This window comes from Homo sapiens, chromosome 2 (genome assembly GCF_000001405.40).
Source record: "Homo sapiens chromosome 2, GRCh38.p14 Primary Assembly".
Lineage (NCBI taxonomy): Eukaryota > Metazoa > Chordata > Mammalia > Primates > Hominidae > Homo > Homo sapiens.
The window spans coordinates 202,866,468-202,882,348 of NC_000002.12; the positions used below are offsets into that span (position 1 = coordinate 202,866,468).

A 15,881-nucleotide genomic window follows, 5' to 3' on the forward strand; every position below is an offset into this window, starting at 1 on the left:
ATAGTAACACAAAATGGACTAACAGAGGTGCCAAAGCAATTCATTGGTGGAAAGGACTGACTTTTAACAGACAATACAAGGACAACCAGATATCCATATGTCAAAAGAATTGCTCAACTCTTAATTAACATCATTTACAAAGAGTAATTCAAAATGTGTAACAGACTTAAATGTAAAATTTAAAACTGTAAAACTCCCGGCGAGGCGCGGTAGCTCACGCCTGTAATCCCAGCACTTCGGGAAGCTGAGGCGGGCGAATCACAAGGTCAGGAGTTCGAGACCAGTCTGGCCAATATGGTGAAACCCCGTCTCTATTAAAAATACAAAAAATTAGCTGGGTGAGGTGGCAGGCTCCTGTAGTCCCAACTATTGAGGAGGCTGAGGCAGGAGAATCGCTTGAACCTAGGAGGCAGAGGTTGCAGTGAGCCGAGATCGTGCCACTACACTCCAGCCAGGGCGAGAGCACGAGACTCCATCTCAAAAAACTGTAAAATTCCCAGAAGAAAAAAATCTTTGCAACCTTGGGGCAGACAATGATTTCTTAGACTATTTAAAACATGCATTATAAAAGAAAAAAAATCAAGAAGTTAGATTTCACCAAAATTTAAAATTGCTATTTGAAAAACACAATTCAGAAAATGAAAAGTTTGGAAGAAACTTTTCATACGTACACACACATATGAACAGACCCGTGTTCTGAATATATGAAGAATAATTACAACTGAGTAATAAGAAAATCTCATTTTAATACATAAATTATTTGAGCAAACTAACAAAAGATATTCATATACAGTCATGCATTGCTTAACTGTGGGGATATGTTCTGAGAAATGTGCCATTAGATGATTTTATCATTGTGAGAACATCATAGAATGTACTTATACAAACCTAGATGTTATAAGCCTACCACATACCTAGGAGCTATTGCTCCCAGGCTACAAACCTGTACAGCATGTTACTGTACTGAATACTGTAGGCAACTGCAACACAATGATGGTAAGTATTTGTGTATCTAAACATGTCTAACCACTGAAACGGTACAATAAAAATATGCTATTACAATCTTATGTGACTATTATTATATCTGTGGTCCATCATTGACCAAAACACCTTTATGCAGTATATGACTGTATACTAATGGCCATTAAGCACATAAAAATATATTCAACATTATTCATCAGGGAAACAAAAATTAAAACCACAAAGAGATATCAGCACACCCCCATTTGATCTTGCTAACAACCAATCTGTCAATTCAAAGTGCTGGCAACAATGAGGAACAACTGGAACCTTCATACATTGGTCGTGGGAATATAAAATGGGTATAACCACTTCAGAAAAAATTGAGTTTCTTGGAAACGCACACAATCCAGCAATTGTATTCTTATGTATTTACCTAAGATAAATGAAAAATATGCCCAAAGACCTGTAAATGTTCTTGCCAGCTTTATTCAAAATGGCCAAAAATTAGAATATCTATTAACAGGTGAATAAACAAATTATAGTATACTGCGCAATGGAATACCACTCAGCAACAGAAAAACTACAAACCAAGTAATTAATGAGTAAGGGGTGTTTTTATGGGGTGATGAAAAAGTTTTCAAACTAGAGAGAACTGGTGATCTCACAACATTGTGAAAACAATAAATATCACTGAATTGTACACTTCGAAACGGTTGTTTGGGTTTGTTTAGCCAAAGTAAAAAAAGAAAAAAAAAGGCTAATTGTATATTATCTGAATTTCCCCTCAAAAACAAAAAAAAACTTTTGATAAAAGAGCAGGAATGAATTCTCAACCCACAATGATATACCAATACACATCCATGGTAATAGCTTAAATGACAAAGACTGACAACACCAAAATTGGTGAGAATGTGAGTAACTGGAACTCATATATTGCTGATGAAAGCATTAGATAGTATAACCATTTTGGAAAATGATTAGCAGTTTCTCATAAAACTAAACATGCTGCTACTTCATGACCTAGCAATTCCACCGCTAGGTATTTAAAGCTTTATGTGGGCAGAGATTTTCATCTGTTTGTGAGCAAACAGTGCAAGACACACAGTAGATACTCAATAAGTATTTACCAAATGAATGTCTACTTATTTTAGCATTGTAATAAAAAACTAGAAACAATCTAAGTATATTAATAAAAAGCTATACAGATAAAAATGTAGTATATTCATATGACAGAATACTATATAAAACAATTAAGGCCGGGCGCGGTGGCTCACGCCTGTAATCCCAGCAATTTGGGAGGCTGAGGCTGGTGGATCACCTGAGGTCAGGAGTTCGAGACCAGCCTGAACAATATGGTAAAACCCCCATCTCTACTAAAAATAAGAAAATTAGCTGGGCGTGATGGCATGTGCTTGTAGTCCCAGCTACTTGGGAGGCTGAGACAGAAGAATCGCTTGAACCCAGGAGGCAGAGGTTGCAGTGAGCTGAGATCGCGCCACTGCACTCCAGTCTGGGTGACAGAGCAAGACTCTGTCTCAAAACAACAACAACAACAACAACAACAACAAAAAACATTTAAAACAAATACATCAGTGGCTAAAACTATCAATATCAATCCAAATCAATTTTTAAAATAATACTGAGTGAGGCCAGGCGTGGTGGCTCACGCCTGTAATCCCAGTACTTTGGGAGGCTGAGGCGGGCGGATCACGAGGTCAGGAGATCGAGACCATCCTGGCTAACAGGTGAAACCCCGACTCTACTAAAAATACAAAAAATCAGCCAGGCGTGGTGGCGGGCGCCTGTAGTCCCAGCTACTCCGGAGGCTGAGGCAGGAGAATGGCGTGAACCCGGGAGGCGGAGCTTGCAGTGAGCCGAGATCCTGCCACTGCACTCAGCCTGGGCGACAGAGCGAGACTCTGTCTCAAAAAAATAAAATAAGAAATAAAATAAAATAAAATAACACTGAGTGAAAAACACAAGTGCAGGCTATATGCAATATGATGTAACTTATTTAAAATTTAAAAACACATGCAATAATAGACATGTATAAAATATAATTTAAAAAACACAAAACACAGATACCAACTCATGATGTTGAGTACCTGATAACGGATGGGTGGGATGAGACTTCAGCTTTATTGGAAATGTTTTATTTCCTTATCTAAAAAAATACTAGAAAGAAATACAACAAAATGTTAACAGTTGTTAATGTCGGCCTCTGTAAATATAGATATTGTGTTACTTTAGTCTTTTTTTTAATCTCAACTAAATTAAAAAAGGAATTTTAGTCTTTTTTTATCTCAACTAAATTAAAAAAGGAATTTTAAAACCCTAGTGTTACATGCAAGTGAGTCAATAATGGCAAAATAATAATGAGATACATAGAAGGTGACTAAATTTTAATGGTGAATACTGGATCCAAGTACAAGTTTGAAAATTTTGATTTCCGAAAAAAACACAAAACTTAAGTGATGAATGAAAAATAGACAAAATGGAAGAGGGTAATAAGAATATTATTAAATAACAAAATCTACTTCGAACGAGGAAATCTTTCCAGTTACAGATATATTTAAAACTCACATATCCCATCTGTTGTTGTTAAAGAATATAAAAAGAATAAAATTTTAAAGGAAGCGCAGTGAGTACTGAAAAAGCTAAAGTATAAAAGTACAGAAAAAATGTAAATATAGAATCACACAATGAAATCACCAAGTTTGGCAGTATAGTAGAACAAGACAGTATATTATCTATTTTGTATCTAATATTTTGATATCTGGTCCTAGTTCCATAACTGGTATAAACTTTGTTTTATATTTTTATGATATTTATAATAAAAATATGGCATCCTACTTTTTCCACCAGTTCTCATATTTGCAATTTTTCCTCTTTGGACTGGCTGATCTCTGAGCACCCTTCTAACTCTAAAATTAAACTGGTAATTAGAACACTGCCTTCCACATAGCTGTTTCAACGACTAGATAAACAATCATTTTGAACTATTAAATAAAGAGATTTCAAAGAATACTGGGTATGATAGGCACAGATAACAAATACTAAACGATTTAAAATTTTGGTCACATAAAAATACATACATACCATTCGGAGATGTTTACTCGGCCAGTAAATGTATAATTAACTCCTACTAAAGGATGAGGCACCTGTGGCTATTCCATAAATACTGATGTGAAGATGATTAAAGTAATATCGTCTTACAGTACGTCGCCTGAGTCAGAACCAAATAAATCAATACATAAATACTTTTGGGAAAAATCAAAACCATGGAAAAATGTTACCTTCCCAACAATCTATTTTACAGAGACCCATAGTTTATAACAGCTTTTATGCTGTGTGCATCAAGATCATCTATTACACGAAAAATGATTCCACCCCCTCTACTGGCAACGCCCCAGCATCGCGGGTGAGCTGCCAGGATGGACTCCCCGCTTTCCCCTCTCCGTCTTCCTTAGAGCATCAGGTATCTGACCACTGACATCACCTGGGCACCTGACCAGCTGACGCGCGTTTCCAGGAGCCATATCTGTGCCGTGGGGTCGGGTTGCCGGCCTAAGGAGCAGGATCTGTGCGCGGAGCCCCTCGCGGGCCCGTGCATTCTGCAGTTCAGCTCAAACTGCACATTTACTATGTTTTGTTTTTATCCATCGGTTGCCAATTAGTTTCTAAGGAAGACATTCCCATTACAAAATAATAGCGAAATAAAAATAAGCACCACGTTAAAAAGAGGTCAGCAGGGAAGCACCTGAAGGCTGTTCGGGTGATCCGCCGCCGCCTCTATTAGGAGCGACCTCCACCGCCGAGGGAAATCACCCAAACGAGCCCCAGGCTGCCGCGCTCCTTCACTACAGCGAGCGTGGCCGGGAGGCGCCCTTCCGCCGCAGGGGACCCAGCCACGCCAGAAACCGCTCCTTGCGGGTTTTGCCTGGGGGGAGGCCGGAAGAACCCCGAGCAGGGCCTCGCCTGGAAGAAGGCCGCAGGCAGCGGCCGGGGTCCCCCAGAGAACCGAGGAGGCCAGCAAGGCCCCGAGAAGCCGCGCGCGCGCGCGTGTGGCCGGAGCCTCCCGCCGCGCCCCCGCCTCCCGGCGTCGCCATGGGAACCCGGGATTTGGTCTCCGGGCCTGACCGCCGCCTGAGGGGGAATAGGGGCGGACAGGAGGCAGCAGAAGCTTACCGGCGCCGCTCTTCCGCCTCCTCGGGTCGCGTTCGGCCGTACGGTGATCCGTCCCGGCACCCGTTCCGGCCACCGCCCGCGAGCCCCGCGCCGACTCCCGGCCCTCCGGCAGCCAGTGCCCCTCCGCACCAGTGCGTGGAGGTGTCAGGCTCCCGCTGCGGGAGGCGGGAGATTTAAACCGCGCGACCTGGCGTCCGCGTTCGCCCCCCTCGGGCGCCGGCCTGACCCCGCCACCGGCCCGACTCGGGATCGGAGCATCTCTCGGTCTGCTCTTGAATGAACTCGGGGACCCTCTCTATTCCTCCTTTCCCGATTTCCTCTTTACTTAATAAAGTGAAATGACAAACACCAAACCGGTCAGAACATTACGAGGAGCTGAGTGTGAGCTCTCTGAGGCGTGGGGAAGTGGAAGGCATTGGCCCGGGGCCCTCCCGGCTCCCTCCGAGCACCCCCACCCCCGGACCTGCCGGGCCTTCTGGGGCGGCCCCTTAGCACCAGTGCTCCTTAGGCGGAAAGCGTTCGCCCGCTGTATTTAACTCCCGTGTTAAAGGTTTAAAGAGGTCTAAGTTAACAACCGTTCATAACCAATCTCAAATGCACATATCCATATCCATAATGTTTATGATGAATCTTCAAGAGTAAAAGGTAAAACCGGATCCTGAAAGTCTCAGGAAAAAAACAAAAAGGAAGGCAAAACTATTTACTACTAGTAGGAGATAATTTAATAAATTCAAACTTCATTCTTTTTAAAGGTGACTCCAAAACTTAAAAGAACTTTCCTAAAACAGCAGAATACGAATTATTAATTACAACTGCGACACATAGGCTAGCAAAGAATTAAAAGGTTAACACTCGAGGTGATAATTAAAATCTGTATGATGACAAAGATGGGGTGAGTCTAGAATTTATTTTATTTTATTTTATTTGAGACGGAGTCTCGCTCTGTCGCCCAGGCCGGAGTACAGTGGCGCGATCTCGGCTCACTGCAAGCTCCGCCTCCCGGGTTCACGCCATTCTCCTGCCTCAGCCTCCCGAATAGCTGGGACTACAGGCGCCTGCCACCACGCCTGGCTAAGTTTTTTGTATTTTTAGTAGAGTCGGGGTTTCACCGTGTTAGCCAGGATGGTCTCGATCTCCTGACCTCGTGATCCGCCCGCCTCGGCCTCCCAAAGTGCTGAGATTACAGGCATGAGCCACCGCGCCCGGCCGAGGTTCTGGAATATTAACAGTACAAAATACTCACCTTAACCTGGAAATTATACTTTTAGAATAGGAAAAGTGGCAAGCTACAGAGGGTTAATTTGGACTGAAAACATTAAATGTCTTTAGACTTTTACCCTGAGATATTTGGATTTCAAGGAATAGGCAAATACCTGAGATTATGTGCAAAATTTTGTTTGTTTTTTTGAGGAGTCTACAGCTTTCCTCAGAAGGGTAAAAATTAGCGTTTGGCAAACATGAGTGATTGACCTATTTCCTTGGGATGGCTTTCCTGAATCTTACCAAATGAGGCATTTCTCCTAAGGGGCATACTGCTCTCTGGCTGTAACGATCTACCTGCCTGTCTTCCCCATTAGGTGCCGAGCTGCTTCAAAGCTGCTCCTCCCTTACGCATTTCTGCAGCCTTAGCACCTAGCACAGTGCCTAATACAAACTAGGTCCTGAATGAATGTTGAATCCATCAATGAACGAAATGAAACAAAGATAGCTAATTCACAACTGAAGGATACATTATAAAATATCTGAAAAGAACAGATTATCTTTCTCACCAAGGAATAAATAAAGTGGCAAGCGAAATGACTTTCAAATGTTACTATGCCCCATAGTAAAGTTCTTGGGGTATTTTAGAAAATGTTTGTTCCAACAAGATGAAGTTTTAAGTCAAGAGAACAGTAAACTAATATCTTCTTCAGCTCAATCTGAGGCCGACTAAAGTCCTCCAAGGAACACACCTGGAAGTCAGAATAATGGCTACCGGCCGGGCCTGTTGCTTTTATTCACTTAACTGGGTAAAATTACAGAAAGATACACAGTATCTCCAAGCCATTAATGAAGTGTAGTATTTACACTTCATATAATCACTTTTTCTTCACAAGTCGCTAAGGAAACACGGTGGCACAGTGTAGGAATAGTATCAGAAAATAATGTAGAGCTAGCTGCTGATGCTTCTCCTGGACAGGAGTCAAGTCTCTCATATTTCATAAATGCCTGTGGAATGAATTCTTTCTTTAGCTGTTGGATACAATGTTTAAATGGCTTGCACTAGGAAGAGCGTGGTAGTTCAAGCCTATAATCCCAGCACTTTGGGAGACTGAGGCAAGCGGAGCACTTGTGGTCAGGAGTTTGAGAACAGCCTGGCCAACATGGTGAAACCCTGTTTCTACTAAAAATTCAAAAATTAGCCCCATGTGGTGGCGTGCACCTGTAATCCCAGCTACTTGGGAGGCTGAGGCACGACAATCACTTGAACCCAGGAGGCAGAAGTTGCAAGCCGGGATTGTGCCACTAAACTCCAGCCTGGGCGACAGAGCAAGACTCTACTTGCACTAGTCTCTTAACAAAAGGAGGCAGCTCAGTCATTACATTTTAGTGTTGCATAAAACCTCTTTAGAAAGTGAAATAATTTAACACCTTTAAAGTACTTTTAAATTTCATTTAGAAGTACATTTACTGAACTGTTATTTAACTTTCTATCCTTTCTATCAACATATAATACACTTATACTAAGGGGAAAAAAGGGGTTTTCCTCCATTGTATAGACTTTTACAAGCTAACTAGACAAGAACATTAGATGACTTGGAATGTAGGGCTCCACAAATGGGATCCAAACCTAGAGTCTTAGTTTCTTTAAAGACTAATGGTCTTCACTTTTGTTTTTGTGCAAACCTCTGGTTAATCTCCCAAATAAAACCTCAGTTGATATTAGAAAACACTAAAAATTATTCTACTGTTTTGTACTGTTTTACTAAGGATTAGAGGTCTATTGAATCTGACATCACACAAAAAGCTCTATTTCTTCAAGGCATTCCAGTTTCTTTGTAATCTGTTGGATTTTACCGAAGACGTCAGGAGAAGCATTATAGGTCAGTGACAGTGGGGCCATGGAGAGCTATCTTCCCAGATACCCAAATGAGTAATTAGATACTGCAAGCTAAACATTCTGTCTCTTCCCTACTACATTTCTGTTTATTCAAGCAAAGCTAGAAACAGTATTAGAATTAGACACAATTCTAGAATTAGAATTATTATGATGATTTTAAATGTGAAGTGTTATCGACATCGTTTTAAAAATTATTTCCTCCCCCTGAAACCACTGAACTTCATCTGGTATTAAGTCTCAGCCATGTTATTACACTTTCACCAACTATACATAGAATTGTTTGACATGTTTCTAAACTTTGTATCAGATAGTACCTAACAAGATACTTTCTCTGTAGTCTTTATTACTCAGATGTATGTCGCACAGCTCCATTAATTGGTTACATACCTTCACACTAGGTACTTAACCTGTCTGCATTGTGGTTTCCTTTAAATAACATGAATGACATAATTACATGAATAATAGGATAATTTCTAAAATTCATTTTTGCTTATATACAATTCCTATTAGAATATACAGAAATTGATCTTTATACATTTATATACTATTACAGTAATACGTTTAGTGGCACGCTAAAATTGAAATTAATTTTAAAGGCAAAAAAATGCAAAGCTGAACATATTATTGTAATTTAGTACCCACAAATGTCACTTAAATTTATGTATTACTTTTTTTTTTTTTTTTTTTGAGACGGAGTTTCGCTCTTGTTGCCCAGGATGGAGTGCAATGGCGCGATCTTGGCTCACCACAACCTCCACCTCCTGGGTTCAAGCAATTCTTCTGCCTCAGCCTTCCAAGTAGCTGGGATTACAGGCATGTGCCACTATGACTGGCTAATTTTGTATTTTTAGTAGAGACGGGGTTTCTCCATGTTGGTCAGGCTATTCTTGAACTCCCGACCTCAGATGATATGCCCACCTCAGCCTCCCAAAATGTTGGGATTACAGGCGTTAGCCACGGCGCCCAGCCACATATAACCTTTCTGTTAGGCAAGTGAAGACACTTCCACACTCATTCTTTCCATTTATAAAAACATCATTCTTGTGCACGACATAAGATTGACAAAATATATACCAGTTAAGAGCTTGTCCAAGATAAGTCCAAGTTCAAATTCACTGCCATTTATTTCCTGCCTGTGTGACTGTTCAAAAACTTTAACATATATTTTTCTCTCCTATAAAATGCAAATAATTTATTACCTATAGAGGATTATTATGGTAGGATATAGTTTCATTGTTACTTTTATGGACACTGTAAGAAAATAATTTACTTCCTCAAATCTGCAAATCATTGGAACTGCTATTAGAACAACCATTAGGTTTAATTCTGTAAAACTAACCAGCCAAAAACGTTTCTCTCCTAAGTTATAATAAAGATATATTTGGTTCAGGCTGGATGCAGTGGCTCATGCCTGTAATCTTAGCACTTTTGAGGCCAAGGTGAGATGATTGCTTGAGGTCAGGAGTTGGAGTCCAGCCTGGGCAACATAGCAAGACGCCATCTCCACAAAAATAAAAAAAATAGCTGGGTGTGGCAGCATGCAATTGTACTCCCAGGTACGTACTCAGGAAGCTGGGGCAGGAGGATCCCTTGAACCCAGGAGTTGAGCCTGGATGGCAGAGCTAGACTATGTCTCGTAAAAAGAGATATATTTGGTTCATATAACAAAATACTGTTATTGTGTTTGATACTTAATCTATGATAGTCAAAAATGTCAACAATGAAGTGACTAAAATGTTCTTGCTGTTTCTACACCTGGCAGTTTCTGGCTAGTAAAATCTGGATTTCACTTGCCTAATGAAATCTGATTCTAATTAGTGGCTTTTTAAATAAAAAAGATATTATTGGAATATCCCTTGCATATAGTCTTAAAATGTCATATTTTTTCCTTTAAGAATAGGAGCCATAGTAATATCTATTAAAAAATCTGTATTTTTGGCCAGGCACAGTGGCATGCCTATAATCCGAGCACTTAGGGAGGCTGAGGCATGAGGACTGCCTGAGGCCAAGAGTTCATAACCAGCCTGGGCAACACAGCAAGACTGTCTCCACAAAAAAATTTTAAAATCAGCCAGATGTGGTGACATGCGCCTGTGGTCCTAGTTAGGAGGATGAGGTGGGAGGATCCCTTGAGTCCGGGAGTTAGAGGCTGCAGTGAGCTATAATCGGGCCGCTGCACTCTAGCTTGGGCAACATAGTGAGACCCTGTCTCTAAAAAATGAACAAAAATAAAAACTAGTATCTTTCAAAAAATTTAATATTTTCCTTATATTTGTTATATATAGTAAACTGTTACCTTTTTTTCAAAACTACGATACATCAAAAGAATTTTAGACTGTGTGAACAGATTTCAATGTTATTATCAGAAATTCCCAGATGGTATATATATATATATATTTTTTTTTTTGCAGGGTTGCTTGTTCCATTATATGCATTTTATATCAATTTAAACTTTTGTTTGTTCTTTCTCCAATAATATACTAGGAAGCATTCTGATATATTATTATGCATTGTTGACAACAGTTCCAAAATGGTAATTCCAAATTCAAAGGAAAAGAAAATATTGATCATCTTCTCATAGAAAAGCTATGTTTTTCTACAAAGGCCCCACTATGCCTGGCCAAGTAATTTCTTAAAACTTTATTTGGGCTGGGTGCGGTGGCTCATGCCTGTAATCTCAGCACTTTGGGAGGTCCAGGTGGGCAGACAGCTTGAGCCCAGGAGTTCAAGACCAGCATGGGCTACATGGCGAAACCCTCTCTCTACAAAAAAAGTAATAATAAAAATAAATTAAAAAATAAAAAATAAAAAATTGACTGGGTGTGGTCCCAGCTACTTGGAAGGCTGAGGTGAGAGGCCAGCTTGAGCCCAGAAGGTGGAGGTTGCAGTAAGCCAAGATTACACCATTGTACTCCAGTATGGGTGACATAGTGAGACCCTGTCTTGACAAAAAAACAAAAAAACCAACCTTTGATAAGAGAGCAAGTATCAACATTTTAAAGAACTGCACTACTATGGCAAGACAGCATAACTAGTACCGGTCAGCAGGTTCTGAGCACTGCATTGTCAGGTTCCTAGCTTTTCCCCAACCACGGGAAAGCAGCACCACTCATTTATCCAAGTGATTCTTGGGAATATATAAGTCCATGTAAAGCAGGCATCTCTGGTGTTCTGGTAGAGGAACTGGGACCATTGAAAGGTCTCATGGCTTTTGAGGGAAAGGGTGTGGAGCAATATCAGAGGACTGAATAGTCTAGGCATGTATTGACCTCTCATATTCCTTCTGTTCAGGGAGTAAGATCTAACCACTTGAGTTAACCAAGGAAAGGAGTTTGGCAGGGATTGATCAGAGACAATACTTGTCCAAGAGACTTGGTCACTTACATTATATCTATCTCAAGGAAGAATGCCTGAACTATGAATGTATTCTGCTGTGGAACCAGGATTGGGAATAGGTGGGGACCAGTTCTGGATGCCATTTTATTCTTTGTCTATGCATCTGATATATAGGCTTCTTTATCTTTAACCATCTAGTTTATACAGACTACATTCGGTCAGCCTAGGTTGGGTGAGTTAAGAAAGACATTTTAAATAACTGCCCTTAAGGATCATTTGAAGACCATCCAAAACAGGACTAGGAATTCATCTTTGTCCTCTCAAAGTTAGAAGATTTCCAGAGACTACAAATACAATAAAATTTATACCAATCAGCACAAAATGAGAAAAAGAAGGATTCTGTGCATGAATTTTCTGGCCACCTTTATTCACTATTTGGCATTAAAATATACTTTAAGAAATGGTAACTGGAGCTCTAGCTCTTGGTCTATATGAAAATGAGGACCACATACCAGGGATGGAGGGAGCCTAGGATCCTAAAGAATGTGGAACAAAACCTACATCAGCCCTGGACTGCCTCTGGTTTTCTACAGAGAACTAAACTCCTAACTGGTTCAATACACTGTTTAGCTCTCAACTGCAGCCAAGTTTAGATATTGTTTCGCAGACTTCTGCAACAGGAACATCATTTGAGATGTAATACCATCTAATAATGAGACCAAACATATTTCCCAAATATTACTAAAAGGTTGTGAATGCTCTACTTAAGGAGTATCAATCCATTAATAATGGAAATAACATTTAAAAAATACATTTACTTTAAATATTTTTATATAACACATGCATAAAGATAAATGCTAATGATATCATAAAATCTGTAGAATGTTTAATACTGATGAAAGGTTTTGTCTAAAAAATTTATTCTAATCTACACATGAGGAAAGATTAGGGTTACAGTGAAAACTGTATGCAATGCAATTTTTTATTTTTTTTTGAGACAGAGTCTTGCTCTGTTGCCCAGGCTGAAATGCAGTGGCACAATCTCAGCTCACTGCAACCTCTGCCTCTCGGGTTCAAGCAATTTGCCTGCCTCAGCCTCCGGAGTAGCTGGGACTACAGGCACATGCTGCCACGCCCAGCTAATTTTTTGTATTTTATTAGAGACGAGGTTTCACTGTGTTGCCCAGGCTGGTTTCGAACTCCTGAGCTCAGGCAATCCGCCCGCCTCAGCCTCCCAAAGTGCTGGGATTACAGGCGTGAGCCACCGTGCCCAACCAACTGTATGCAATTTCTAAAGGATCTGACATATATTTAATATAAAGTGCCTTCCTTAAAATATCTTGATGAATTCTTCAAAAATTGGCAATCTACTTGTCTTTATTTTGAGATAGAGTCTGGCTCTGCTGCCCAGGCTGGAGCACAGTGGTATGATCTCAGCTCACTGCAACCTCCACCTCCTGGGTTCAACCAATTCTCCTGCCTCAGCCTCCCAAGTACTTGGGACCACAGGAGTGTGCCACCACACCCGGCTAATTTGTTTTGGATTTTTTTTTTTTTAGTAGAGACAAAGTTTCACCATGTTGGTCAGGCTGGTCTCGAACCCCTGACCTCAGGTGAGCCGCCTGCCTTGGCCACCCAAAATGCTGGGATTACAAGCATGAGCCACCGTGCCCTGCCGAATCAATATTTTGTTATCGTTGTTGTTGAGACAGAGTCTTGCACTGTCACCCAGGCTGGAGTGCAGTGGCACAATCTCAGCTCACTACAACCCCTGCCTCCCGGGTTCAAGCAATTCTCCTGCCTTAGCCTCCCAAGTAGTTGGGATTACAGGCGGTCGCCACCATGCCCAGCTAATTTTTGTAGTTTTAGCAGAGACAGGGTTTTGACATGTTGGCCAGGGTGGTCTCAAACTCCTGACCTCAGGTGATCCACCTGCCTCGGCCTCCCAATGTGCTGGGATTACAGGTGTGAGCCACCATGCCCAGCCTACATTTTTTTTAATGTTCTGAGTACCCTCACAGCCTAATTTTCTTGAACATTTATTCTGCCAAAAGGAACTGAATTTCTAACTTTTTCTCTATTACAATTTTCATTAATCTTTTTGAATGCTTTTTTAAAATAGCTAACTTAAAAAAATCTAAGTCTCTAACAGAAATAAAAATCTCAACAATCAATTACTGGATTTCCAATATAACCTTTTACAGCATTTCAAAAACAAATCTTAATTCGGCCAGGCACAGTGGCTCACTTTGGGAGGCTGAGGTGGGCAGATCACCTGAGGTCAGGAGTTCAAGACCAGCCTGGCCAACATGGCAAAACCCCGTCTCTACTAAAAATACAAAAATTAGCAGGACATCGTGATGTGTGCCTGTAATCCCAGCTACTTGGGAGGTTGAGACAGGAGAATCGATTGAACCTAGGAAGCGGAGGTTGCAGTGAGTTGAGATTGCGCCACTGCACTCCAGCCTAGGCAACAGAGCAAGACTCCATCTCAAAAAAAAAAAAAACAAATAAAAATAAAAAAGCAAATCTGAATTCAAACCAATACCTTTAAAGAGAAATGTAAAACTCAGTTTAATTTCAAGTTTGTATAGAGAATGTATGCCACAGTTTGTATTTTATAAACACAACCTATCTTATTATAAATACAAAATAAGAAAAAGTGATACGTTAGCTGTTATGAAGGGTGAAAACATTATATAAACTTCAAAAGGCTGCTTTCTGCATCTGCATCTATGTAATTTCATGGTTCTCTACCAATTTCATTTACAGAAATAATCTCTATAGTCAAATTATTGTTCACTTTCATGCCCCAACATGGGAAGTGGTAGGTGAATATCTGTAGGAATACAATTTATTGTCTGCTCCTCCACTCAGAAGTAGCTGTGTAAAAGGAGAGAAAAAGACAAGAAAACATAAATAAATATAATTATTTCACATCATAGCTAAACCTAATTAAATACTAATGATTTTCATTACAAAAGGAATTATGGGTGAGCAGTTAACTTGCATTGAGAGTGAGTAAAGGGACCAACGTTGTTTCACTACTATACTATGATACAGTTTATTAAAACATTAAAAGCTATCATTTAAATTTGGTTGAGACATAATATGCTGTTGCACTTTCTATAAAGCATCTGCCAAGATACATAAGTTTGAAAGGGATACAGTTTTACCTATTAAAGAAAATTAAAAATTTTTAAAGGACAACACATTAATTGTATATTACAAATTATTCAAGTAGCCCTAGGCCTTATATTTGGAAAGAATTCTTAGGCAGTAAGAGCTTACGTATATACATAAAAATAATTAAATTGTAATTCTTTAAACACATTTTATAATGCAGACTTATGCAAGATTTTTCCAACTGGTAAACACTTTGATCCAATTAGTCTTAAGTAGTGAGTTTTTGGAGGTAAAATGTTTCATGAAGATACTCGTGGGGGCTAGGCACAGTGGCTCACACCTGTAATTCTAACACTCTGGGAGGCTGAGGCGGGAGAACTGCTTGAGGCCAGGAGTTCAAGACTACCTTGGGGAACACAGTGAGACCACGTCTCTACAAAAAATTTAAAAATTTGCCAGATATGGTGGCACCCACCTGTAGTCCCTGCTACTCAGAAGGCTAGGGCAAGAGGATCACCTAAGCCCAGGAGTTCAAGCCTCAATCTCTAAAAATAAATAAAGAAGATACACATGGGGGCGGGAGGATTGCTTGAACCCAGGAGTTCAAGGCTGCAGTGAGTCACGACCGCACCACTAACATTCCAGCCTGGGCAATAAAGGACCTTGTTTCTTAAAACAACAACAGCAAAAACAACAAAAAACCCACTATACTCACAAGAAAAAAAAATGCTCCAAAATTTCAAATTTACTATTCCTAGTATTATTATTATTTTGAGACAGGGTATCACTCTGTTACCCAGGCTAGAGTGCAGTGGCGCGATCATAGTTCATTGCATCCTCGACCTCCCAGGCACAAGTGATCCTCCTGCTTCAGGCTCAAGTAGGCTCAAGTAGGTCACACCACCATGGATAACTAATTTTTTAATTTTTGTAGAGACATCATCTCACTATGTTGCCTAGGCTGGTTTTGAACTCCTGGGCTCAAAGAATCTTCCCCCTTTCCCTCCCAAAGTGGTAGGATTACAGGCATAAGCCACCATGCCTGGCCTATTAAAGGACAAATTTGTTTCTTCTTTGAATGAGAGGTGACATTTTATAAATAATATTAAGTGAAATAATACAGAATTATAAATATCAAATATATTGAAACTAATAAATGTTTTTTTTT

General features: G+C 40.1%; 2 protein-coding genes across 5 annotated transcripts in view, besides 3 other annotated features; both read right to left on the reverse strand.

Moving 5' to 3' along the window:
- Positions 1-5,299, reverse strand: part of ICA1L (islet cell autoantigen 1 like) — a 98,591-nt gene extending 93,292 nt beyond the window's left edge. Inside the window, exons 1-2 of one of the 3 annotated variants that reach the window (NM_138468.7) lie at positions 5,152-5,299; positions 4,063-4,189 (exon numbers count right to left, since the gene is read on the reverse strand). The gene's annotated coding sequence lies outside the window, so the exon portion shown is untranslated. Of the gene's footprint in view, positions 1-4,062; positions 4,190-4,693; positions 5,030-5,151 lie in introns of those variants that run through there. The other 2 variants (NM_001288622.3, NM_001288623.2) reach the window with 2 other exon arrangements.
- Positions 4,842-5,331: a silencer, noted in NCBI's record as "silent region_12249". NCBI's record gives its function as "represses an Ori minimal core promoter by ATAC-STARR-seq in GM12878 lymphoblastoid cells {active_cell/tissue: GM12878}" and the evidence as "EXISTENCE:reporter gene assay evidence [ECO:0000049][PMID:35858748]".
- Positions 5,372-5,421: a silencer, noted in NCBI's record as "silent region_12250". NCBI's record gives its function as "represses an Ori minimal core promoter by ATAC-STARR-seq in GM12878 lymphoblastoid cells {active_cell/tissue: GM12878}" and the evidence as "EXISTENCE:reporter gene assay evidence [ECO:0000049][PMID:35858748]".
- Positions 5,482-5,611: a silencer, noted in NCBI's record as "silent region_12251". NCBI's record gives its function as "represses an Ori minimal core promoter by ATAC-STARR-seq in GM12878 lymphoblastoid cells {active_cell/tissue: GM12878}" and the evidence as "EXISTENCE:reporter gene assay evidence [ECO:0000049][PMID:35858748]".
- The window catches only part of WDR12 (WD repeat domain 12), a 37,413-nt gene continuing 29,325 nt past the window's right edge, over positions 7,794-15,881 (reverse strand). For both annotated transcript variants that reach the window (NM_001371664.1, NM_018256.4), the window contains one exon: positions 7,794-14,470. In NM_001371664.1, coding sequence (NP_001358593.1) covers positions 14,393-14,470 — 78 coding nt within the window. In that variant the 3' untranslated portion in view covers positions 7,794-14,392. The remainder of the gene's footprint in view (positions 14,471-15,881) is intronic.